The 25,302-nt window shown below is 53.7% G+C and overlaps 1 protein-coding gene across 11 annotated transcripts in view, besides 4 other annotated features; it reads left to right on the forward strand.

Annotated features, from left to right (window-relative positions):
• SS18L1 (SS18L1 subunit of BAF chromatin remodeling complex) overlaps nt 1–25,198 on the forward strand; it is a 38,746-nt gene extending 13,548 nt beyond the window's left edge. For 4 of the 11 annotated variants that reach the window (XM_047440083.1, NM_198935.3, XM_047440084.1 and 1 more), the window contains 10 exons: nt 1,356–1,432; nt 2,561–2,645; nt 4,120–4,264; nt 5,436–5,615; nt 6,142–6,306; nt 6,829–6,930; nt 8,106–8,198; nt 15,366–15,485; nt 17,201–17,328; nt 21,866–25,198. In XM_047440083.1, the coding sequence (XP_047296039.1) occupies nt 1,356–1,432; nt 2,561–2,645; nt 4,120–4,264; nt 5,436–5,615; nt 6,142–6,306; nt 6,829–6,930; nt 8,106–8,198; nt 15,366–15,485; nt 17,201–17,328; nt 21,866–21,892 (1,122 nt within the window). In that variant the 3' untranslated portion in view covers nt 21,893–25,198. Of the gene's footprint in view, nt 1–1,355; nt 1,627–2,560; nt 2,646–3,279; nt 4,265–5,435; nt 5,616–6,141; nt 6,307–6,828; nt 6,931–8,105; nt 8,199–15,365; nt 15,486–17,200; nt 19,003–21,865 lie in introns of those variants that run through there. The other 7 variants (XR_007067449.1, NR_125981.3, NR_125980.3 and 4 more) reach the window with 6 other exon arrangements.
• Nucleotides 2,720–3,919: an enhancer, noted in NCBI's record as "CDK7 strongly-dependent group 2 enhancer chr20:60735092-60736291 (GRCh37/hg19 assembly coordinates)". NCBI's record gives its function as "activates an origin of replication core promoter dependent on BRD2, BRD4, P300/CBP, MED14 and CDK7 cofactors, with strong dependence on CDK7, by STARR-seq in HCT116 cells {active_cell/tissue: HCT116}" and the evidence as "EXISTENCE:reporter gene assay evidence [ECO:0000049][PMID:35650434]".
• Nucleotides 2,720–4,214: a biological region, named in NCBI's record as "CDK7 strongly-dependent group 2 enhancer GRCh37_chr20:60735092-60736291".
• Nucleotides 3,602–4,214: an enhancer, noted in NCBI's record as "H3K4me1 hESC enhancer chr20:60735974-60736586 (GRCh37/hg19 assembly coordinates)". NCBI's record gives its function as "activates a minimal SCP1, AML or CMV promoter by ChIP-STARR-seq in primed H9 embryonic stem cells {active_cell/tissue: H9 hESC(primed)}" and the evidence as "EXISTENCE:reporter gene assay evidence [ECO:0000049][PMID:30033119]".
• Nucleotides 4,215–4,827: an enhancer, noted in NCBI's record as "H3K4me1 hESC enhancer chr20:60736587-60737199 (GRCh37/hg19 assembly coordinates)". NCBI's record gives its function as "activates a minimal SCP1, AML or CMV promoter by ChIP-STARR-seq in primed H9 embryonic stem cells {active_cell/tissue: H9 hESC(primed)}" and the evidence as "EXISTENCE:reporter gene assay evidence [ECO:0000049][PMID:30033119]".

A 25,302-nucleotide genomic window follows, 5' to 3' on the forward strand; every position in this document is an offset into this window, starting at 1 on the left:
CGGAGCCCTCCTGGGGCCACAGAGCACGTTCAGGAGGCGCTTTGGGAAGGAAACCTGGGGAATCTGTGGGCCCAGCCCCCTGCTGCTCAGGTGTGGCCAGGCACGTGGGTCACCAGGTCAGAGACAGGCTGAGCCCCTGCATCTGACAGGTTCCTGGCAGTGCCCATCTTGAGCGCAGACCGTGCTTGGCGGAGTGTATGCCTGGCCGTCCCTGGACCAGAAGCCTCCATTTTGCCAGTTCTAGGAGCACGTGGCGCCTGCAGAGAGACCCCTGGCCCAGCTCTGGGAGGCCCACATCTGGCTGTTCACCTGAGTCACTTGAAACTGGTTTAATCTGGGTTTAGGGTCATGACCTTGTCTGTGCACACACACTTTATGTGTAAGACACGGAAGGTTCAAGACGGGACCGGCCTTCCCTGTGTGGCCTGTGGGCCTATCGTGCCGTTCTCCTGCATTTCAGCGCAGCACCCCTGGGGGTGAGGGCTGCGGGGTGCCAGCCCCAGGTCTAGGTCATGCCCGGTTCCGCAGTCTCACGCATCTTTTCTGCCCCCACGCCGGCCTGTGTGTGTGTGTGGTTTCTTCTACCGGTGGTGCCGTCCCTGACCCCCCCAGACCCTTTCCTTCCCTCCCTCACCGCGGTTGGTGCAGCCCCTGCAGGAAGTCTCGATGCCCTTACCACCTGGGAGTGCCCTGGACCCCTGCTGATCCTTGGGAGGGGGCAGTTACCTGTGCCCCACCCTGTGTGGTTGCAATTCGAGGCTATCCCCTCCAGCTAGGGGCACCAGGGCCTCTTGTGGGGTGCCCACAGGGTCCTGACATCCTTGCCATCGGCTTGGCTGACCCTTGCTGCACAGATGCTCTGCCGTCAAGGGCCCTGGAAGCTGGAGGGTCCTTCGGGCTGGGGGCTGCTGGGGGCACGGGGCCTCTGTGTTTTCATTTGTGGGCTTAGATGGCCCTGCCGCTTACGGATGAAGTCCCCAGCACAGGGAGGTGTGAATGTTCGGTCTGTGGTGGCTGAGGCAATGCACGTAACGACAGTTTCGTATACAGAACAGGCGTAGCATCCGAGATCTGGAAATTTGAAGTGCTCCAAAATCCAGAACCTTTTGAGCACCAACATGAGGCTCAAAGGAAATGCTCATTGGAGCATTTTGGATTTCGGGTTTTCGGATTAGGGATGCCAAACCGGTGGGTCTAATACAGATATCCCCAAATCTGGAAAAATCTGAAATCTGACACGTTTCACGTAAGGGACGCTCAACCTATATGAAAACTAGATGTGTAGCGATGGCTGTTCATCCCGAGGGTCAGCGACAGCCCCGCGTCGGCAGCGCCCGCTCACGCTCTCTCCGCAGATGCTGGACGAGAACCACCACCTGATCCAGTGCATCCTGGAGTACCAGAGCAAGGGCAAGACGGCCGAGTGCACGCAGTGAGTGCCCGCCATACACCGGAACACTTGGAGGGTGTCATGCAGAGTCTAAGCACAGAGGCCAGATACGTCCCAAGAGTCCCCCAGCACAGAGATCAGATAAGTCCCAGGAGTCCCCAGCACGGAGGCCAGATATGTCCCAGGAGTCCCCTGCACAGAGGCCAGATATGTCCCAGGAGTCCCCCAGCACGGAGGTCAGATATGTCCCGAGAGTCCCCCAGCACGGAGGCCAGATATGTCCCGAGAGTCCCCCAGCACGGAGGCCAGATATGTCCCGAGAGTCCCCCAGCACGGAGGCCAGATATGTCCCGAGAGTCCCTGGCACAGCTGCGAAGCATTGCTGCCAGAACTGGGGTAGTTCTGAGGGAGGCGGAAAGTGGGAGGCAGGAGCAGTGTGGGGAGGCCTGGGCCAGCCTCTCTGGGCAGCTCTGTGGCCAACAGCCAGCGCACCAGGAGACAGCACCTACTCCAGGTGGGACCTCCTGTGACCCTGTGAACCTAGGGCCTGATGCGTAGGAGGGGTGCGTGGCCAGTCTGCCACCCTCCAAGCGGCTGTCCAAGTGGCCGTCAGACTGACCTGGAGGTGGGAAGTGCGTGAATGGCCTCAGACACCCCTGGGTGTGGGTGGGGTGAAGGGACTGGGTCCCCACTGGTGCGAGGTATACGAGGGGCCTTCCCTGGCAGAACTGTGCTTCCCCATTTCTTTCCAGGGCTTTCTCAGGGTCGTTGGCTCTATGGAGTCCGCCCACTGCCTGGCTCAGCTGGACGAGGGCTCTGTCCCTCTGTCACCTTCGGGCCCCTGCCTCCTCGTGGCCTCCCCCCATCTCTATCCTCTGAACAGACCAATGCCAGCTTCCGCTTAGCTGTTACCTTAGAGTCTTTCCAGAGTTTTTGTCATGGGTTGGGAGCCTGCTCAGGGTTTGGGGTAGAGGCTGCCCTCCCGTCCCCACCGAGACCCCAGCACCCTGCCACCTGCCTGTGTCCAGCTGGGTGTCATCTGGGGTCCATGTCCTCATGGGGTTTGGCTGGATGTCAGGCTGTCTTGTTCACACTTTACTTCTGCCTTGGATCCACGTGGGGACTCTGTGGTCCCGTCGTCCTGCCTCATGCGTGCCCCCTCTCCTGCAGGTACCAGCAGATCCTGCACCGGAACCTGGTATACCTGGCCACGATCGCAGACTCCAACCAGAACATGCAGTCCCTGCTTCCTGCCGTGAGTACCCACGGGGGGTTGGCCTCCTTTACCCAGCAAGGACTCCGACACTGCCTAAGATCGGAATTGTGGGCATGTCATCTCAGGTAGCAAAGATGACTCAGAGAAACCAAAAATACCACTAGAGCCACCAGAAATGGGAGTGTGGGCGGTGGTGACCAACCCTTCCTGACAGACTGGGAGTAATGACAGCGTCTGAGGTGGCCAGGTCAGAACTGTGGCTCAGCCTCGTTATGTATTGAAGGGAGGGAAGCCCCGGAGAAGCCACTCCAGGAGCAGCCGCAGCTCTCGGGTCGGGGGTGGGGAGAGGTGGGATGGGGAGAGGTGGGGTGGGGAGAGGTGGGGTGGGGTGGGGAGAGGTGGAGAGAGGTGGGGTGGGGAGAGGTGGAGAGAGGTGGGATGGGGAGAGGTGGGGAGAGGTGGGGTGGGGAGAGGTGGGATGGGGAGAGGTGGGATGGGGGCCCTGCGTCTCCCTGGAGCCTCTCCGGGTGCTTTGAGCCACTGTGAACCGTGCACATGCGCTGCTGTGGGTGAGAACGGAACTTAAAAGAGAACATGCCCAGCACAGTAAATTCTCCCAGTGTTAGTTCAAATATTTTATTTTGTTTGATTTTTTAAAATGCATTTTTCCAAGATTAAATTGTCACAGTGAAGACGAGGTCGTGCTGCTGCAGCCTCTGTCCTGCTGACGGGGTTCCGGGACAGACATGTCGCCGGGAATGACGTATCTCCTAGTGACCCTTAGTCCTCGGCAAGTGATGACATAAATGCCAGGATGTGTCTTGCGAGTAAAAATGTTAAACCCACCTCCATTGACCTGTCAAATTGCACTTCTTCACCCTGCAGACACCCACAGGTCCTGGTGGAAATTTCCTTTTCTTGGCCAGGTGTAGACAGCATGTGTGTGCAGACCTCCAGAGCTGCTGGTTGACCTTGATCTGGGAGAGTGCTGAGGGCCACTTCACACTCACTCCCTTCTGTGCGGTGTGATCCGAGGCGGGTGTGGGGTGGGGGTAGTCGGGGAAGGGGCACATGCAGCAGGAGCACGGGAAACAGGAGAGGGATCCCACCTCTGCCGAAGCTCTTGGCACGGAGGGGTCGTGGTTGGGGAGCACAGAGGCGCTGGTCACCTGCGCCCGAGGGGGACGGGGTGCGTTCAGCCTGGTGGGCCGGGAAAGGGGTTCCCTGCTGTCCCAGGAGGAGGTCCAGCTTTTCACACCCAGGCACGTGTGGATGAACTTGATACTCAGTAGGGTTGTGAACGCTCACCCAGATGCTCACTCTGCCATCTCCATCTGGGCCTGGTGCTCTGCGGTCACCTGGCTGTGACGATGGCTGCTGATTACGAACATTGACCAGGTGGCCATGATGTGTGGCGGCAAATCTCGGGTGCCCTCTCATCCCTGGCCTGGCTTGTGGAGGTCGCTCTCCGTAAATTAACCGTTTTTCCCTGAAAACTTCCTGTTGCCTGCAGCCGCCCACGCAGAACATGAACCTGGGCCCTGGAGCCCTGACTCAGAGCGGCTCCAGCCAGGGCCTGCACTCTCAGGGCAGCCTGAGTGACGCCATCAGCACGGGCCTGCCACCCTCCTCCCTCCTGCAGGGCCAGATTGGCAACGGTGAGTGCGGCGGGGGAGGAGGACGTTCCTGGCTACGAGGCCACCAAGGCAGCCCTTGGGCAGCCGGCTGCCATGGTGGGGCACCCCACCCCTCACAGGGCTGGGCATGGGACCCACTCCTCCTGGGGTAGCCACAGGTCGGCTGCCATCGCCCAGGCTCAGGGCCGCAGCGAGCGTGCCGTGCGGCTGGGCTGAGCCCCTGCTCCAGTTGTCCACTCTCTCTGACACTGTCACGTTCCATCAAATTCAAATGCAAGTTGCGGGGTTCCAGGTGGATTGTGTAATAGGAATGGAATGCTCCTGTCTTTGGATTGAGAAGCATGGATAACGTTTGGAGACCATTAACAGTAATATAACAGGCCGGGTGTGGTGGCTCAGATCTCTAATCCCAACCCTTTGTGAGGCCTAAACCAGCAGACTACTTGAGGCCAGGAGTTTGAGACCAGCCTGGGCAATATGGCAAAGCCCCATCTTTACAAAAAATAAAAATATTAGCCGGGTGTGATGGTGCACACTTGTAGTCCAAACTGTTAAATACTCGGGAGACTGAGGAGAGAGGGTCACTTGAGCTTGGGAGGGTGAGGCTGAAGTGAGCCTTGTTCATGCCACTGCCCTGCAGCCTGGGTGACAGAGCCAGACCCTGTCTCAGAAAATAATAACAAAATAACAACAAATAAACGATTCATCCTGTGCTTTGCTAGCATGTACGCTGCTTTGTTTTCTTTTCTTTTTTTTTTGAGACAGAGTCTCGCTCTAGTCGGCCAGGCTGGAGTGCAATGGGCATGATCTTGGCCCACTGCAACCTCCGCCTCCCGGGTTAAAGCAGTTCTCCGGCCTCAGCCTCCCAAGTAGCTGGGATTATAGGCACGTGCCACCACACCTGGCTAATTTTTTTGTATTTTTAGTAGAGACGGGGTTTCACCATGTTGTCCAGGCTGGTTTCGAACTCTTGACTTCAGGTGATCCACCCACCTCGGCCTCCCAAAGTGCTGGGATTACAGGCATGAGCCACTGCTCCCGGCCACTTATTTATTAGTCACTTAATCATTAATAGTGCTGTTGATAGCAACTCTTCCCAAAGTCACTTGAAGGGAAATTGGGGTGTCTTCACCTTCAGAAGTGGTGACCTGGCTCCCCAGTGCCTGACACCACTCCCTGCTCCCCATGCCAGGGCCGAGCCACGTGTCCATGCAGCAGACGGCGCCTAACACGCTGCCCACCACCTCCATGAGCATCTCTGGGCCCGGCTACAGCCACGCGGGACCCGCCTCGCAGGGCGTCCCCATGCAGGGGCAAGGCACCATCGGCAACTACGTGTCTCGGACCAACATCAACATGCAGTCCAACCCAGGTACCTACTCTGCCTCTGCAACCCCGGGGGGCCTGGGCCTGCCTCCAAGACCCTTGACACATGCACGTTGGACATGTGGTCCCGGGGAAGCTGCCCTCCTGCTGGGTGCTGGAGGGGAGGGGCCCGTGAATCGGGGCTGGCCGCTGCCTCTGAGAGCTTCCGGAGGGATGGGCGCCAGTGGGTGCACGATCAACTCCTCCTGTCCCCCAGCTTTGCGAGGGGCTGGGGTGTTTCCCATGGAGTCTCAGGGAATGCCCCAGGGAGTGGGGGCCACTGGCCCTGGGTCTGGACAGACAGCACTGGGCTCTCAGAGGTGGGGTAGAGTCGGTGCAAGCAGCGGGTCTGAGCTTGCAGGGCGTCAGTGCAGGCCACGTAGGGGAGGCGTGCCTTGCGGTGGAGGACGCTGTCCTCGTGGGGAGCACAGGAAAATAACGAGGAACCCGCCCGGGCGCAGGAGGTAGTTGGGTGTGGGAGGGAGGGCGGGAGGCTTCCCGGGGTGATGTGGGGCCTCTGTCCTGTCGTTCAGTCTCCATGATGCAGCAGCAGGCGGCCACGTCGCACTACAGCTCGGCGCAGGGCGGCAGCCAGCACTACCAGGGCCAGTCGTCCATCGCCATGATGGGGCAGGGCAGCCAGGGGAGCAGCATGATGGGGCAGCGGCCCATGGCGCCCTACCGGCCCTCCCAGCAAGGTAACGCCCGGCCGGGCCAGGTCGCGGGCACAGCTGACCGCCGCGGGTCGTGAAGTGCCAGGCTGTGTGTGCTTCTCTTCGGGGAGCCTGGGGGAGTGAGGCGGGGAGCCTGGGGGAGTGAGGCTTGGCGCCTTGGTGTTAACATTGAGTGTGGACCCTGGGGGTGAGGGCCAGGGTGTGGCCCGTGGAGGGTCTGCTGTCCCCGAGGAGTCAGTGTTGGGGGCAGGGGCGGCAGTTGTCATTAAGAGTGTCACAGGCCGGGCTCATGCCTGTAGTCCGAGCACTTTGGGAGGCCGAGGTGGGCGGATCACCTGAGGCCAGGTGCTCAAGACCAGCCTGGCCAACATGGTGAAACTCTGTACTAAAAATACAAAACATAAGTTGGATACGATGACAGCGTGGGGTGTTCTCCTCGGGTGGGTGAGGCCATTCAGCAAGGCCTTGGCTTCCCCAGTGAGCGAGCAGGTCCTCTGAGGGAGGAGGGCGCGGCCCGCACTGGCGCTGAATGTGGTTCCCCCGCAGGCTCTTCCCAGCAGTACCTGGGCCAGGAGGAGTACTATGGCGAGCAGTACAGCCACAGCCAGGGCGCCGCGGAGCCCATGGGCCAGCAGTACTACCCCGACGGTGAGCACTGGCGGCGGCCTGACCCCGCCCAGGAACGCAGAGCAGCTGCAGGGGCAAGGAGGGCAAGGAGGGCAAGGAGGGTGTGGCCACTGCAGTGTGTCCTCAGTCATTCCAGCTCAGGCCTGGGCTACAGGCAGAGTGGCCAGACGCCCTGCAGGAGCAAGGTAGGGGATGGGGTGAGCTGGGCTGGCAGTGGTGCCTGGCCTCTGCAGAGAGAAGCTGTGGCACACACCGCTGCACTGGCCTCCACGCGGCCTTGCCTCTACTTCCTGAAAGGCTGTGGGAGTTGGAGGCGGATAATTGTAGCTCCTAGCTGTAGATAGGTGGAAATGTTCAAGAAGGCGCCTCCCAGCTTCACAGAGAATGCCCTGAAGGTGACGGCTCCACCTGCAGCACCTCTCCTCCTGCACCTTCTCATCTCTGCAGAGTATTTTACCGTCGTCACCTTTCAGTCTTTGCATAGTCCCAGGGCTTGTGGAAGGGATACTGAAAGTGGTCTTGGCTGAAAACAGCGGTTCACACCTGTCATTCCGGCACTTTGGGAGGCTGAGGCAGGAGGATCGCTTCAGCCCAGGAGGTTGAAGCTGCATTGAGCCATGATCGCACCACCACACTCCAGCCTTGGTGACAGAGCAGGATCCTGTCTCTAAATAAAGTAAAAATAACAATAAAATAAAGTGGTCTTAAAGGCTGGATTGATCCCTGGGAGGCATCCAGGCAGGGAGCTGGCCTCAGCCAGCAAGGGGCAGGTGCACAGACAGGTGGGCAGGTGGCAGCAGGGCAAGCCACCCTGGCCACGTGATGGTCACATGCAGCGAAGGCCTCGGTAAGGGTTGGACACCCCTGCCTGCGTCCTCCCAGGAGCTAGCGGTGGCGGGGAGAAGGCAGTCGGGTCACTAGCATGGCTGTGTGGCAGGCACTGAAAGCGCTGATCCTCTGCATAAATCCCCAGGTAGCTTCACAGTCGCCCCGAGAAGGAGGCATTGATGTCTGCATTTCAGTGGGGAGGCCGAGGCTCAGGAGGTTGGGGCATGGTTTTGGGGAACACGGGTCCTGCCGGCTCTTGTTGCCTCCCTGGCCAGACAACATCTCCCCAGCCTGGGTCTCAGTTGCCTCCTCCGGGACCTGTGCAGTGCACAGCCTCCGCTGACTGTCGCCGTCTCCGTTTCGCACAGGCCATGGCGATTACGCCTACCAGCAGTCATCCTACACGGAGCAGAGCTACGACCGGTCCTTCGAGGAGTCCACGCAGCACTACTATGAGGGGGGTAAGGAGCACGGCTGCGTGCTGGGCTCGAGCGTAAGCGCCACACGCAGCAGAGTTAAGACGCTGCACCCTTAGGAGCACGCGGTGCCTGCCTTCAGTGAGTCCCTTAAATCACAGCACAGCGCGTGGGAGGAGAGACAGTGTGTTCTGGAAGCTGGAAATTCAGGCTGTGTCGGGAGCCCCGCTTGCCTTATGGGTGTGTTCGTGAGACAGGAAAGGATTCAGCCGGCCATGCTGGGGTTGGGGGCACAGACTTGGTTATTGGGTCCAGCCAGGGAGCGTGGGGCCTGCGACAGGAAGGATTCAGCCGGCCATGCTGGGGTTGGGGACACAGACTCTGTTATTGGGTCTGGCCAGGGATCGTGGGGCCTGCGAGCCACTCTCAGAGCTTCCTCAGCTGGAGGCCAGCAGTGGCTGCGCTGGGTGTGGCCTCGCGTTTCTTCAGACACCTGCAGGCCAGGAAACGCACATCTGTGGCTGGGGGCTTGCCGCCCTTCATGGCGGTCCTGGGCAGTGCTGCGCTGGGGGCTGCGTGTCGGGTGGACTTGCCCCTTTCTGTGGTGTCTGTGCCCCCACCCTGGCTGCCCTGAAACCCCAACAGAACATCCCAGAATGTGGAGTTGGGAAGAGGTACACACAGCCCGTTCCAGTCCCACCCCGGGATAAAGATGGCCCCCAGAGAAGAGCTGATGATCGCCTGCGGGATTGCGCAACCTCGTCCGGGAGGGAAGGCGGGCCTGCAGTCCCTGGGGAGAGGGGCCTCGTGTCTGCTGACGCTGACCGGCAGGCAGCAGTGGCTGAGGCCTTCCCACTGCAGGGCTGCAATTTATCAAGAGGTAACAGTGTTGGTGAGGCTTCACCAGGTACACAAAGCAGGCAGGCACTAAACGGCTACAGATTTCCTTGTTTGGGTTACTTCTTAAAGAATTGGATGTGTAAAGGTTTTGCTTCTGAGCTTACACATCTCAGCCTGCTGTGAAGAAATAAAGCACGCAAGTGTAGGCACATATAGAAACATCACGGTGTGCGCTACGAATGCCTGCAACGTTGAAATGTCAGTTACACCTTTGTAAACCTGGGGGAAACAAAAAGTACATGAATACATAATGAAAGTTTAAAAGAAGAAAGAGCCTAGGTGTTGTGGCTCACGCCTATAATCCCAGCACTTTAGGAAGCTGAGGTGGGTGGATCACCTGAGGTCAGGAGTTTGAGACCAGCCTGGCCAACACGGTGAAACCCCGTCTCTACTAAAAATACAAAAATTAGTTGGACGTGGTGGCATGTGCCTGTAATCTGAGCTACTCAAGAGGCTGAGGCAGGAGAATTGCTTGAACCCGGGAGGTGTAGGTTGCAGTGAGCTGAGATCATGCCATTGCACTCCAGCCTGGGCAACAAGAGTGAAACTTTGTCTCAAAAAAAATAAAAAGAAATAAAAAAAAGAAATGGCCAGGCATGGTGGCTTACGCCTGTAATCCCAGCACTTTGGGAGGCCAGTGGAGGAGGATTGCTTGAGCTCAGGAGTTTGTTTGTTTTTTTTTTTTTTTTTTTTTGAGACGGAGTCTCACTCTGTCGCCGAGGCTGGAGTGCAGTGGTATGATCTTGGCTCACTGCCACCTCCGCCTCCCAGGTTCAAGCAATTCTCCTGCCTCAGCCTCTTGAGTAGCTCGGATTACAGGCCCCGCCACCACACCCAGCTAATTTTTGTATTTTCAGTAGAGATGGGGTTTCATCATGTTGGTCAGTCTGGTCTCGAACCCCTGACCTCATGATCCACCTGCCTCAGCCTCCCAAAGTGCTGGGATTACAGGCGTGAGCCACCGCGCCCGGCCGAGCTCAGGAGTTTGAGGCCAGCATGGGCAACATGGCAAAACCCTTTCTCTCCCGAAAAAAAAAAAAAAAATGCCGGGCGTGGTGGCGGGTACCTGTAATCCCAGCTACTCAGGAGGCTGAGGTGGGAGAATCGCTTGAACCCAGAGGCAGAGGTTGCAGTGAGTTGAGATTGCACTACAGCACTCCAGCCTGGGTGACCGAGCCAGACCCTGTCTCAAAACAAAAGCCACCCTGTGGCCAGCACCCAGAGGCTATCTTCTGGCATATTGGCTGCAGTGGTGCCTCCGTAAGCCCTGGGAGTCAGCAGGATCTCTGCCATCATGGGCCTGGCCCTGTCCCTTCCAGCTGGAGCACAGGGTTCAGCCTTGTCCATGGCGAGGTGTCCACATGCGTCTGCCCAAGGCTGCCACACTTTGTCCCAAAAACAAACGCAGGATGTGCTGCTCAGCCTTTTAGTGTCTGATGTAGCTACTTTTTTTTTTTTTTTAAAGAGACAGGGTCTTGCCCTATCACCTAGGCTGGAGTGCAGTGGCCTGATCGTGGCACACTGCAGCCTGGAAATCCCAGGCTCAAGTGATCCTCCTGCTTCAGCCTCTCGAATTGCTGGGACTAAAGGCATGCACCACCAGGCCTGGCTTTTTTTTTTTTTTTTTTTTTTTTAATTTTTGTAGAGATAAGGTCTTGCCATGTTGCCCAGGCTGGTTTTGAACTCCTGGGCTCAAGTGCCACCTCAGCCTCCTACAGTGCAGGGGCTCCAGGTGTGCGCCATTGTGCCTGGCTGATAGGTACTTCCGTAGCTTGTTGTGGGTTAGGTACTCTTGCCTTCCATCATTGATGAGAAATTTGCTGAAAAGCTTAGTAACCTCTTAAGGCCAGTAAGACAGATGGTGTGGTTTCCTCCTTGATTTAGAAGCATTTTATTCCATCTGTTTGTTAGACTCTGACATGAGGAGTGCACATACATGGTGACACTTTACCCTACAGCAGGTGGTACTGTGAAGTCTTGCAGGGGTGAGAGGCCTGGAGATGCTTTGCTTTGAAGAGATTGGCGGATGTGTCATAGCCACCTTCAAACACAACTGTGGCCCATGGTGCAGTGGAGAGGCTGGGGGGACGTTAGGAGGAATGGGTCAAAGGCACCATAAAGAACTTTCCAGGCCGGGTGCAGTGGCTCCCACCTGTGATCCCAGCATCAGGCCAGGTGCAGTGGCTCCCACCTGTGATCCCAGCATTGTGGGGGCCAGGGCAGAGGATCACGTGAGCCTGAGAGGTCGAGACCAGCCTAGGCAACATAGTAAGACCCCCTCTCTACTAAAAAACATTAGCCAGGTGTGGTGGCATGCGCCTGTTGTCCCAGCTACTTGGGAGGCTGAGGCAGGAGCATAGCTTGAGCCCGGGAGGTCGAAGCTGTACTTAACTATGATCACACCACTGCGCTCCAGCCTTGGCAACAGAGCAAGACCCTGTCTCAAAAATAAAAAGAATTTTCCAACTTTTGAGTCATCCCACAGCAGGATGAGTGGGACAGGCTGGTGCTGGAATTGTTCCTGGTGACGGCATCAGTCAGGAGCCTGCAGAATCTGATAAAACGAGAGGGTGTTCATGCGCAGGGCACCAGTAATAGGAGGGGACCAGAGTGGGGCTGACCAAGCCAGGAGGGGACAGCGGGGGCCACGGGGTCACTTGTGCTGGGCAGGAGCATCGGGATGTGGTGCTCGGTGGGGGAGGGGCCAGGAGAGGGTGCGAGTCCCGCGTTCGCGTCACAGTGAGGTTTGCAGTGACGCATACTGGACAGAGCGCAGCCCCTCGTGACCTGGCATCTGGGCGCCATTGCTGCTAGGAGAGACCGCCCATGAGCTGCCAAAGCCAAGTATGGAGCTGGGCGCATGGGATGTGCCTCTGTGAAAATGCAGGCAAGAGGAGACTGTGCCCTTGCACACACGCACACTCACACCGTCAGCCAATGGACAAACACCAAAACAACCAACACAAATGCTTCCGGGTAGGAGATGGGGTTAGGGCTCAGGCAGTCCAGAGCAGGGGTGGAAGCGGCCACCTTCCCAGGACCTCTTGAAGGTATGAGTCCGTCTGTATGTACCTTTGAATCATGTAGATGTATTGGCAGCTTCAGAAGTTAAATTAAACATCATTGGGGCCGGGCAGAGTGGCTCACGCCTGTAATCTCAGCACTCTGGGAGGCTGAGGCGGGTGGATCACTTGAGATCAGTAGTTTGAGACTAGCCTGGCCACCATGGTGAAACCCCATCTCGACCAAAAATACAAAAACTAGCTGGGCTTGGTGGCGCATGTCTGTAAAGCCAGCTGCTTGTGAGGCTGAGGTATGAGAATCACTTGAACCCAGGAGGCAGAGGTAGCAGTGAGCCAAGATCACGCAACTGCACTCCAGCCTGGGGCGGCAAAGCGAGACTCCATCTCCAAAAAAAAAAAAGGAACATCATTGGCTGTCACAGAAACTGAAAGGACCTCACTTTATGGCTGTCCACACCGTCCACACCTCCTGGAGTCCCGAGCGCGGCTGGCGTGTCGTGTGCATTTCTCAGGCCCTCGCCAGGTGGTGACCAGCGTGTCCCAGGAGTGGACGACAGGGTGGTGTGGCCGGGGCCTGTGGGACTCATCTTCCCTGGGCAGTGCTGGGGCCGCCTTGGCTGCGTCCTCGTGTGGATCACTGTGTTTTTATGTGACACGGCTTTGAGCGTCGTTCACATGTTCCTCGTGGCTCATTGTGTCCACATCTTGCTCCTTCTGAGGAAGCAGAGGGTGTGCCGTGGCCTCTTGTTTCACACACAGATGCGCCATGCTGCCCGGCACCTTCTCACGGGCACCCCGCAGAATGCCAGAGGATTCTTAGAGAAAGAAAAGAGCTGGGCACGGTGGCTCACGCCTGTAATCTCAGCACTTTGGGAGGCCGGGGCAGGCGGATCACGAGGTCAGGAGATCGAGACCATCGTGGCTAACACGGTGAAACCCCGTCTCTACTAAAAATAGAAAAAAATTAGCTGGGCGTGGTGGCGGGCGCCTGTTGTCCCAGCTACTCAGGAGGCCGAGGCAGGAGAATGGCGTGAACCCCGGAGGCAGAGCTTGCAGTGAGCCGAGATTGTGCCACTGCACTCCAGCCTGGGTGACAGAGCGAGACTCCATCTCGAAAAGAAAAGAAAGAACCCTGGAGTACTTGCTGGTTGTGGAGGAAGGCCCCACATCTGCCCGCCCCGTTGCTGTCCTGTTGAGAGCACGGCCTGGGCTCCCCCGAGCCCTGCAGATTTCATGCAACACATCTGAAAACGGCAAAGGCCTTTTCCACAGATGTCGTGCCCCCTTTCCCTGCAGTTATCTCAGCAGCCCCCTTTCTTTGGGGATAGGGCGGCTGCTGCCAGTTCCCACTAGATCGCCTGAGCACCCACTGGGGTGTGAGAGCCAGGCCTGGTCCCTGTGTGCTGGGGCTGGGTGTTCTGAGCTGGCACTCTCACAGTTGTTGCATACCTGCTGGGTGCCAGGGCAAAGCTGGCCCGTTTCCTACAAACTGGCTCCTTTATTTTTTTTTTTTGTTTATGTTTTTTTGAGATGGAGTCTCACTCTATCGCCCAGGCTGGAGTGCAGTGATGCGATCTCGGCTCACTGCAACCTCCTCCTCCTGGGTTCACACCATTCTCCTGCCTCAGCCTCCCGAGTAGCTGGGACTACAGGCTCCCGCCACCATGCCGGGCTAAATTTTTTGTATTTTTAGTAGAGACGGGGTTTCACCATGTTAGCCAGGATGATCTCGATCTCCTGACCTTGTGATCCACCCGCCTCGGCCTCCCAAAGTGCTGGGATTACAGGCGTGAGCCACCGCACCCGGCCACAAACTGGCTCCTTTATTATGTAAAGAATAAAGTGGGCTATAAAACATGAGAATATGCAGGCTGACCCCCAAAAGCCTGACACCCTTGAAAACCCACTCCCCCATGTCTCAGATGGCTTTCATGGGGGCAGGAGAAAGGATAGTGACCTTAAGTCTTCTCCCGTGACGGTGACAGCTCGTTTGCCAGCTGTTGCTGGAACCGGCCCTGGATTTAGAGGAAGGCGTGGAAGTTCAAGACTCAAGATACTTCCTGGATAGAGAATAACTGGAAAGGCTCAAGTAAGTTTTTCCGAAGCTCTCGCCTTAGGAGGAGTTCAGCCTGGAATAAGAGCGTGTGTTAGTTTTGTCATCCCACCTAACTACAGATTGAATTACCCTGATAGGTTTTTAAGCCATTCCAGTGTGCATTATCTCAATAAAGCTGTTATTTAAAAAAAATACTAGATTGCAGTTTTAAAATACTTAAATTTTACAGCTTCTAAAAAAGGAAAGTTATTTCCAACCAGAAAAGTAAAGTAGAAAATGGATTCTTTGCGCAGAGCATGGTGGCTTACGCCTGTAATCCCAGCACTTTGGAAGGCAGGGGCAGCAGGATTGCTTGAGGCCAAGAGTTCGAGACCAGCCTGGGCAACATAGAGAGACCCTGTCTCTACAAAAGATTTAAAATTACCTGGGCATGGTCGGGCACCGTGGCTCACGCCTGTAATCCTAGCACTTTAGGAGGCCAAGGTGAACGGATCACAAGGTCAGGAGATCGAGACCATCCTGGCTAACATGGTGAAACTTCATCTCTACTAAAAATACAAAAAATTAGCCTGGCGTTGTGGCGGGCACCTGTAGTCCCAGCTACTCGGGAGGCTGAGGCAGGAGAATGGCGTGAACCCGGGTGGGGCGGAGCTTGCACTGAGCTGAGATCTCGCCACTGCACTCCAGCCTGGGCAACAGAGCGAAACTCCATCTCAAAAAAAAAAAAAAATTATCTGGGCACGCTGGCACACACTGTAGTCCTAGCTACTTGGGAGGCTGAAGTGAGAGGAACACTTGAGCCAGGGAGATGGAGGCTGCAGTGTGCCCTCATTGCACCACTGCACTCCAGCCTGGGTCCCAGAGCGAGGCCCTGTCTCTGAAAAAAAAAAAAAAAATTATATCTGCAAAGACCCTATGTCCAAATAAGGTTCCATTCACAGGTACTTGGAGTTAGGACATCAGCATCTCTCTGGGGAGCACATTTGACCCGCGACGCTGGCGTTCATCTCTGTCTTAGTTGTCATATTAACCATTTCGTTTCTTAGCTTTCCATTTGTATTTCTATAAGATAAAGGTGTAGTATAGTATTTGAATGGTTGTGAAAAAATAAACATGCCGAAGCAATGGATTTGGTTTTGGGATTCCAAAGTTACCGTGTCGTGAGTGGGCCACAGAATGAGCCCCCTTAGCCCAGGTGGGGAAAGTCATTTCTGTGTCTCCTCCTCCCTCCAGGAAACTCCCAGTACAGCCAGCAGCAGGCCGGGTACCAGCAGGGTGCCGCGCAGCAGCAGACGTACTCCCAGCAGCAGTACCCCAGCCAGCAGAGCTACCCCGGGCAGCAGCAGGGCTACGGTAAGAGGCGAGCACGGTCCTCGGGGCCCCCCAGCGCCCACCCCTGCCCCTGCCACACATGGGTACGTGCTCAGTACCCCAGCCAGCAGAGCTACCCTGGGCAGCAGCAGGGCTACGGTAAGAGGCGAGCACGCTCCTCGGGGCCCCCCAGCGCCCACCCCTGCCCCTGCCACATGTGGGTACGTGCCCGGTGACCCTGGTGCTCAGGCAGATGTGTAATAAACTTATTTTGAATACCTTTAGGTTTCCAGAAAAGTTGGAAACATCCATGCACGTAGACCTGAAACATCTTATTTTAACTTAAACATAAATTCATTGCCCACGTGGCCTGTGACGGGAGCCAGTGTCCCGTGTATCCATCACCTGCACGCCTCAGGCCCAGCTTCAACCTCTTTGACAGAGCAGGTCAAAGCCTGTGGGTCTCAGCCTTCACTGCAGCTTACAATCACCCAGGAAACTTCTGAAAAATAAGGTGTGGGCTGCCCCAGGTCTTTTGTTGGAGCAAGATCTCAGTTCTCAGGATGAGCTCCACACACGTGGTTTCTTATGAGGCACGTGCCTGATTCTGCTGTGCTTATTCAGCCCTTTACAGCCATTACTAATTAAATAGTATAAAAATTACTTGAGGCCAGGCGTGGTGGCTCACGCCTATAATCCCAGCACTTTGGGAGGCTGAGGTGGGCGGATGACCTGAGGTCAGGGGTTCAAGACCAGCCTGACCAATATGGTGAAACCTCGTCTCTACTAAAAATACAAAAATTAGCTGGGCATGGTGGTGGGGGCCTATAGTCCCAGCTACTCAGGAGATGAGACAGGAGAATTGCTTGAACCAGGAGGTAGAGGTCGCAGTGAGCCGAGATCACACCACTACACTTCAGCCTAGGCGATAGAGTGAGACGACTCCTCAAAAAATAAAAAAATAAATTACTTGAGGCTCAGTGTGGTGGCTCATGTCTATAATCCCAGCACTTTGGGAGGCTGAGGCAGGAGGATTGCTTGAGCCCAGGAGTTCGAGACCAGCCTGGATGACATAGTGAGACCATCTCTACAAAAAATACAAAAATTAGCCAGGCATGGTGGCACACTCCTGTGGTCCCAGCTACTTGGGAGGCTGAGGCAGGAGAATCACTTGAGCCTGGGAGGTGGAGGTTGCGGTGAGCCAAGATCACGCCACTGCACTCCAGCCTGGCTTGGGTGACAGAGTGACACCCTGCCTAAAAAAAAAAAAAAAAATTGGCCTCTATCAGTTCTTGCCGGAGCCTTTGACTTAGCCTTCCTAGAGACGATGTCTCTGTCTCACCTGCCTGCAGGTTTTCAGCAGCTCCCGTGGTAGTTCAGTGACAAGTTACAGCAGCCAGTGTGACTGGGGCCAGCGGGTTCTGGAGGGCTGTCCTGCCTTCAGGTAGCAGCAGTTCTGGGGTGATGGAGAGAGCCCATCAGCCCTCGCCATGCTGGTGGGGGGCCTGGGGCACAGTCCTGGGACCTCACAGGACTGGAGGGGCTGGTGAGTCGGTTACGTGGTGCTCTCGCTGTACAGAGTTAACGTGGAGCCACGTGCAGGTGCCAGGTGTTCTGGAGATTGACAAAAGGCTGATGCATTGAGACGGGAATTTTTCAAGGAGAAGAGGAAGTTTTAAAAAAAATTTTTAAGTTAAGAAAAAAAAAGAAAGAGGTGTCCGTTTTGGCCGGCCTCACGGTTCCTGGTGTCTTCTCAGGGTCTGCCCAGGGAGCCCCGTCACAGTACCCCGGCTACCAGCAAGGCCAAGGCCAGCAGTACGGAAGCTACCGAGCACCGCAGACAGCGCCGTCTGCCCAGCAGCAGCGGCCCTACGGCTATGAACAGGCAAGCTTTCTGGATGTTTCCAGATGTGCCCATCCGCCGCGCCTGTCGAGACATAATGAAGATTTCTCTTATGGCCATGAGGAATAATGAGCTGGAACTAACTGGCTTCCAGGGTTCCTTCCAGAACGTTAAGTCTCTGAGCCTGTAAGGTTTTGCAGAATTGCCTCTGTGTATACGCTCACCTCAGTCATCCAGCTGGCTTTTCATACCCTAAGCTCACCGTTAGATCTGCACGCCTGGTTCTCACATTCATTCACTCTGCCAGTGTTTGTCACGTACTGGGTACGCGTCCGGTCTCTGCTGAGTGCTTGGTGTGTGGCCGCGACACGAACCCTGCACTTTTAGAGCTTATGTCTCGCTACAGAGACATAAGGTGGTCCCACAGGGCCAGACTGTGCTGAGGACAGAGCGGGGGGCCCCAAATGGAGCCCGCCTTCCAGATGGGGGCGCAGGCGACCGCATTTGGCCCGTGTGGGCAATTCCAGGACGAAGACACAGCGGGGAGTGGCTGGCAGCCCCAGGCTCAGCCTAGGGAGGGGGAAGCCCTTTCTGCCCAGGAACAGTGAGCAGGGCTTTGAAGGAGCTGAGGAAAGAGCAGCTTGGAAGATGGAAGAGCGGGAGCTCTCGGGACAGTGAGGAGGCCGGTGTGGCGGGAGGTGACAGGGACAGGTGGGCGTAGGGGCCTCCATAAAGCAGACATCGCTTTCCCTCTGAGTGGGATGGGGCCCCTGGAGGAGGACAGGGTCTGTGTGGTGGGAGCACTGCAGGAGCGAGGGCCTCCTAGAGGAGAATGAGCCAGGCAAGGGAAGAGGGCGTGCCAAGGTCCTGAGGCACCAGGAGGTTTGTCCCAGTGAAGGCAGCCTGAAGGAGGCTCGGTGGCTGGAGCACAGGGCATATGAAGGAGAATGGTCTGGGACATTTTTTGGAGCCTCCTTTGAGAGAGTCCTTAGCAGGAAGTGGCTCTGTGTTGGTGACTCTGAGGTGGCTGGAGGTGTTAGGGACACTTTACACTGCCAGTGAAATTTCAAAGCACTACATCGCTCAAGTTTGTTTTTCTCAGGGAATTGGGTAGGTAAGAGGCCAAAGACTGTTTTTTAAATGCTTCTCGTCCTCCTTCTTCAAGAGGGCAAAGGGTCACCAGGTAGATGTAGAGAAGCCTAAAGACCATGTAACACAGTCTCCCTGCCAGGGCACCGTACTCGGCCATGCCTGGGAAGGGCACGCTGATGAGGCATTTACACAGATGTCAGGAGGGCTCTGGTGTGCTCTCAGGACACTGTGAGGCCACTGTAGCCGACGCAGGGGCCGCCTCTCCCCAGTGTGTGCTGGGCGCTGGTCAGCGGGGAGCAGGCCCCAGCTTGGCCCTCCAGGTTTGCACAGGAGTGTCATGCTGGAGTCTGGAAGGACAGCAGTCTGCATCCTGATGTTAAATTAGAATTATATGTGAATGATTCTGATGAGACGCCATACCTCCTTCATACAGTCCTGAAAATAACTTATTTGGATTTTGTGAAATAAGTGAATGTCCTAACTTAATTATAAGACTGAACCAGAGGACATATAACTTTATACCTACCTATGAAAAGACCGTGACCGGTCGTGGTGGCCCATGCCTGTAATCCCAGCACTTTGGGAGGCCAAGGCAGGAGGATCACTAGAGCCCAGGAGTTTGAGACCAGCCAGGGTAACATAGCAAGACCTGTCTCTACAAAAAATAAAGTAGTCAGGCATGGTGGTGCATGCCTGTAATCCCAGCTACTTGGAAGGCTGAGGCACGAGGATCCCTTGAGCCCAGGAGGTCGAGGCTGTAGTGAGTCGTGATTGCACCATTACACTCCAGCCTGGGCTACAGAGAGCGAGACTTTGTCTTAAAAAAAGGAAAAAGAAAGGCCAGGCGTGGGGGCTTACACCTGTAATTCCAGCACTTTGGGAGGCTGAGGCGGGTAGATCACCTGCAGTCAGGAGTTGGAGAGCAGCCTGGCCAACATGGTGAAACCCCATCTCTGCTAAAAATACAAAAATTAGCCGGGTGCCTGTAAGCCCAGCTATTGGGGAAGCTGAGGTGGGAGAATCGCTTGAACCGGGAAGGCAGAGGTGAGTTGAGATCACGCCACTGCACCCCAGCCTGGGCGACAGAGAGACTCCATCTCAAAAAAAAGAAAAAGACACAGAGCAATGGGGAAGATAGAGAATAGAATTTCACATCTGGGGGGAAATGTGTCCATCTAACTGCAAAATATTAAGATAGCCTTTAGTCAGCATCCAGTGTAGCTGGCCGTGGCGCTTTGGCACAGCACTGCCGGCGCTGGGCGTCTCCTAGGGGCCATTGTGCACACTGTGTTATGTTTGCAGCACCCCTGGCCTCCACCACGATGCCAGTAGCACCCCCATTGCCCAGTCTGACAATTTAAAATGACTCCAGACATTGTCAGATGCCCCAGGGGCAAAACTGTCTCCGTTTGAGAACCACTGGGCTACACTTAAACATGTGCTGAGGCGGCCAGGCGCTGTGGCTCACGCCTATAGCACTTTGGAAAGCAGAGGCGGGCGGGAGCAGATAGAGACGGAGGTTGCAGTGAGCTGAGATCGCGCCATTGTATTCCAGCATGGGCAACAAGAGCGAAACTCTGTCTCAAAAAAAAAAAAAAGGTGCTGAGGCATTGGGGCTGCCAGTGGTTTTATAGGGCTCCAGGGCTGCCATGCCTTCAGCTGAGCAGCTCTGGATTTGAGGCTTTCCGTCTTACCCAATGGTGCAGGAGCAGAAAGACATCAGAACAGACTCCCACTAACTAGAATCATCACAGGCAGCTCTGGGAATGAGAATGTGACGTGTTCGGTCAGGCTGGAACAGCTTTCCTCCCTCCCCCACTTCCTCGCTGGGGGCATTCGGGAAATCTGATCATTAACTAGCTGGGGACACATGGAGAACAGGCATGCAGATGATGATCCGTTGTCTTCCCCTGTGGCAGTCTCCCGAGTGGCTTTCACCACAGGTCCGATGCTCCGTTTTGCTGCCCAAGGAATTCTGCCTTGTGGCCTTGTGGGGCACAGGCTCTCTAGTTTCTCTTCTTCATGTTGTTTTTTGTTGTTGTTTTTGAGATGGAGTCTTGCTCTGTTGCCCAGGCTGGAGTGCAGTGGCACGATCTCGCTCACTGCAGCCTCTGCCTCTCGGGTTCTAGCAATTCTCCTGCCTCAGCATCCGGAGTAGCTGGGATTACAAGCACGTACTATCACACCTGGCTAATTTTTGTATTTTTAGTAGAGACAGGGTTTCGCCATGTTGGCCAGGGTGGTCTCGAGCTCCTGACCTCAGGTGATCCTTCCAAAGTGCTGGGACTGTAATCCTACAGGCATGAGCCACTGTGCCTGGCCTTTTTTTTTTTTTTTTTTTTTAAGACAGGGTCTCACTCTGTCGCCCAGGCTGGAGTGCATTGGCAGGAACATGGCTCACCGCAGCCTCAACCTCCGGGGCATGCGCCACAACATGTGGCTTATTCTTTTTTTTTTTTTTTTTTTTTTTGAGACAAGGTCTCACTCTGTCACCCACACTGGAATACAGTGGCATGATCTCGGTTCACTGCAACCTCCACCTCTCAGGCCCAGTGATTCTCCTGCCTCAGCCTCCCAAGTAGCTGGGATTACAGGCACGTGCCACTACCACCTGGCTAATTTTTTTTTTTGTATTTTTAGTAGAGATGGGGTTTCACCATGTTGGCCAGGCTGGTCTTGAACTCCTGACCTCAAATGATCCACCCACCTCGGCCTCCCAAAGTGCTGGGATTGCAGGCGTGAGCCACTGTGCCTGGCCGAGGCTAATTTTTTCTCTTTTTTTGTAGAGATGGGGTCTTGCTGTACTGCCCAGGCTGGTCTCAAACTCCTGGGCTCAAGCAGTCCTCCTGCCTCGGCCTCCCAAATTCAGATTTGTTTTTGAAACAGGGTCTCACCCAGACTAGAGTGCAGTGGTGCAATCACGGCTCACTGCAGCCTTGACCTCCTGGGCTCAAGCGATCCTCCCACCTCACCCTCCAAGTATCTGGGACTATTGGCACACGCCACCACACCCAGCTAATATTTGGATTTTTGTAGAGATGGAGTCTGGCCATGTTGCCCAGCCTGGGTCTTTAGATTTTTTTTTATAGATTGAAACCCATCACCCTGGTCGTCCCCGCTCCCATTTTCTTACTGTAGCAGGCTCGGGGGCAGATGGTGTTTGCATTGGCTCCCAGTGGGGCCAGCTTGGAGGAGAGCCTTCCTGCATAGCAGGCCCAGCATAAGGCTCTGATGCCAGGCCTGGCACAGGCCCGGCCGCAGCGATGCCAGTGTGTGACTGAACAAATGAACCTTTGGCCCTGTCTACGTTGTTAGCCCCAGGCTTGGCCAGTGGCTTCTGGAAAGTCGTTCGCTGCCCCGCAGAGATGTGAGCAGAGGTTGTTTGCTTGCTGTTGTCCCTCCTACCCCCTGTCCGGGCTGGGGTGGACGTCTGTCTTCCTTTCACTCATTACTATAGGGGTGTAATCTGTGTCTTGATCTCTTTTAGGGCCAGTATGGAAATTACCAGCAGTAAGGGACACACATTCTGGCTGGAGCCCTTGTGGTAGCGTGTTCATCCAGGGGCCGGATGGGCTGGCGGCAGCTCTGGTGAATTGTGACATGTTGGTTACCTGTTCGCCCAGTGCCACGTCTGCATGTGAAGCGTGCTCATTTCATGCTGGGTATGACGCCGAGCGCACACCACTGGCGTGAGACAGCGCTTGGTGGTGTGATACTTTTGGTGCTGTGTATAGTATTGTATGTCGGTACACGGAGAGGTATCCTTTTTTTGTCCCCCGCCCCCTTCTCAATGTTTCTAGCTAGCTTTGGGGGTCATTTTGTCATCAGAGCATTCTGTGCCCAGGGACAGGACAGATCTCGAGGACACCACAGTCCACCTGTTCCCGTCAACAGACGTTAGGTCTCATTTTCCTCCTCATGCAGTGTTGTAGTGTGGGTTGTCAACTTTTCTTTAACTGGCTACGCCACAGCTGGACACACATGCAGCCCCTGGAGGGCAGCCTCTTCCTGTGCCTCGATGGGGTGGGTGGGAGGGCATCTTCTGTGCGTTGGGTCAGTTTCTGTTACGTAACGAAAAGGATAAACATCTCCCACGGGAGAGGCCACAGATGGCCACTTCCAGAGCTTGCCCATTGCCTGTCTCTCGCCAATTCCGTTTATCCAAAAAGGTACATGTTTTTGTATTAAAAAGTAAACAGGGATCAGTGACTGTATTCCAAATAAATATGAATCCCTAAGGGCCGTGGACAAATTGCCTAACCCAGGGCCAGCGGTATTGCTGAAGGAAAGGGGCAGCTCTCTGGGAAGTGGGCCCTCAGAGATTACTCTGGCTTTGACCCTTGTTTAGCTGATGGTCATTTCTGGGATTGGAATATTTAATAAGCCCAATTCTAAGTTGATAGGTAATTTTAAATATTCAAACCAAATCTTCCCAACAGTTGGCAAGTTGTTTATTTTATATTATTTCTTCCAGGACCTACTTGCTCAGATCTCCAAGCAAGCATTTCTTTTCTTTTAGGGATGTCTGAAAGTCACATCCAGTTACATTACTGTGTTCTTTCTAATGAAAAGTAAAGGTTTTATATAGAGAAACTTGAGTAATTTTTACATTTCTAAGACATTAAATCCCATTTAAATTCTGTGTGAACATTAAAGACAGCACACTTGCAAAAGTATGGTCAAAGGAAAAAAATCCCACATTTCAATTAACAAGTAGCATGGACATTTGATCAACCTTTAGTTGGAATAATAATATTCATATTTGCTATGAATCCTTTTAAAAAAATCTTTGGATAAATGCTGACAGATTTCCAAGAACTACCAAGAAAATACAAGAGATATCCAATGCTTGATATATGAGGCCTAGTAATAACGATATTTCTCTTTAATTGATGTTTTGTTTTAAAAGTTAAAAGTAATTCTTGGCGTGGTGGTTCACGCCTGTAATCCCAGCACTTTGGGAGGCCGAAGCGGGCGGATCACCTGAGGTCGGGAGTTCGAGACCAGCCTGACCAACATGGAGAAACCCCGTCCCTACTAAAAATACAAAATTAGCCAGGTATGGTGGTGCATACCTGTAATCCCAGCTACTCGGGAACCTGAGGCAGGAGAATGGCTTGAACCCAGGAGACAGAGGTTGTGGTGGGGCAAGATCGCACCATTGCACCCGAGCCTAGGCAACAAGAGTGAAATTCCGTCTCAAAAAAATAAATAAATAAATAAATAAATAAGTTAAAATTAATTCTTTATCCAGAGTCGGGTGCTTTAGAATTTATAAGTCACTTATGTGTTTTGCTTGAATTAATTCTGACAGCCCCTATGAGGAAATCTGGAGGCAGGTAACAGTTCCCATTTTAGAGATGAAGAACTGAGGCACAGATTAAAGGACTTGCCTGTGTTGAATACCAGTCCTGTTCTAGGACATTCTCCCCTCTCCTAGGAGACGGATGTCACGCACAAATGGGGAGAGAAGTGTTTATTTTGTAGGCACTAAGGGTTTCTAAAACCCTTAACACTGGTAAGGGCTCAAAAATAAACGTATGTGTTCATATTCGATCACCGAAATGAGAGTTCTTAATTGCTAATTGACAAACGCGTTAGCAATTTCAGTTAGGGAGTCATCTCCCTTGATTGTGTTCTTTTCCTGTCAATTTTCATAGACCTAATTTGCAAACTCAATCGGGGACTAAAATTTCCCACTGAAAATGTTAAACATTTTAGATAACTGTGAAGATAGTTTATTTTTATTCCTTGCCAATCTGGGAATATGCCTTTTTTGTGTGTTTGTGTGTTTTTTTAAGTGCTGTATTAATAATACTTTCTGAAAGAAAAGGACACTTACCCCAAAACTTCAATCTGAAATGTCTTACATTAAGAATATCTTGAATGTTGTGTATATATTTTAAAAAGCACTTTGCAAAATAGTTTGTACATTTATTTCCTAATTTATACATGATTTTTGGTGTTAATATATTTAATGATTAATAACAGAATGTTTATTTAATGTGCTGTCCATTTTTATGTAATATTATGGGGAAAGTGATGCCAGCAGTTCCTTTTCATTATTCTATCTTCTGTCATATGAATGTTGAGCAAAGCTTAGGCCAACATGAATTGTTTGTGAAGTGTGGTTGATGGTGCTTTGTTTTTTTCTGACTACTTCTATGGAAGGCCAGTGAAGAAGCAAAGGAAGACATGAAAATTGACGCTCATTCTTCTTCCTATTGTTCCCTGACATCCAGCAAATTGTGAATTTGAAAAATGATGGCCAGTTTTCAGAAGTGCTGACAAATTCATATTGGTATGCAAAAGCTCATCACCCATTAAGGTTTGTTGTTGAATCAACAGTACTCAGCATATTAAAACAGTACATCAGAACTCATGCCAACAGTCTTTATGATGGGATTAAGGTGGACAAGATCTCCTAAGATCTGTGAATGGGATTAAGGTGGACAAGATCTCCTAAGATCTGAAAAGAAACCTTAATACGCTCATATGGTTGGAGTGTTAAGTGAACCTCTGATTTTGTCAGGGTTTTTCTACGTGTAGGCGTGAATAGGGGGCACCCCTTCAAAACTGTACAAAGAAGACGACTGTTTTCCATTTCCATTTAAACATTTTTAGCCACTTCATTTCTATTTATTGAACAGGTCAAATTTGTCTTGTTATTTGTGAGTACAGTACATTTAAAAAACATCCTTATCGGTTATTTTTTTTTCAGTCGGAGTTTGACGTATAAATTGTTTATGCTTTTGGTGTAATCTCTTAATAAACTGGTTCTTCAAAAATCATCCTATAAAGTGAGTTTTCATGAAGTTAACGGGATTTTGGTGTGATGTGTTTTGCAAATACTTATTACCGAGACCAGGTAGATCGTCACCTCGGCTCCCGGGCAGAGTTCGCGTGCGTCCGCACCGGATTCCC

Source organism: Homo sapiens, chromosome 20 (genome assembly GCF_000001405.40).
Source record: "Homo sapiens chromosome 20, GRCh38.p14 Primary Assembly".
NCBI classification, from domain to species: domain Eukaryota; kingdom Metazoa; phylum Chordata; class Mammalia; order Primates; family Hominidae; genus Homo; species Homo sapiens.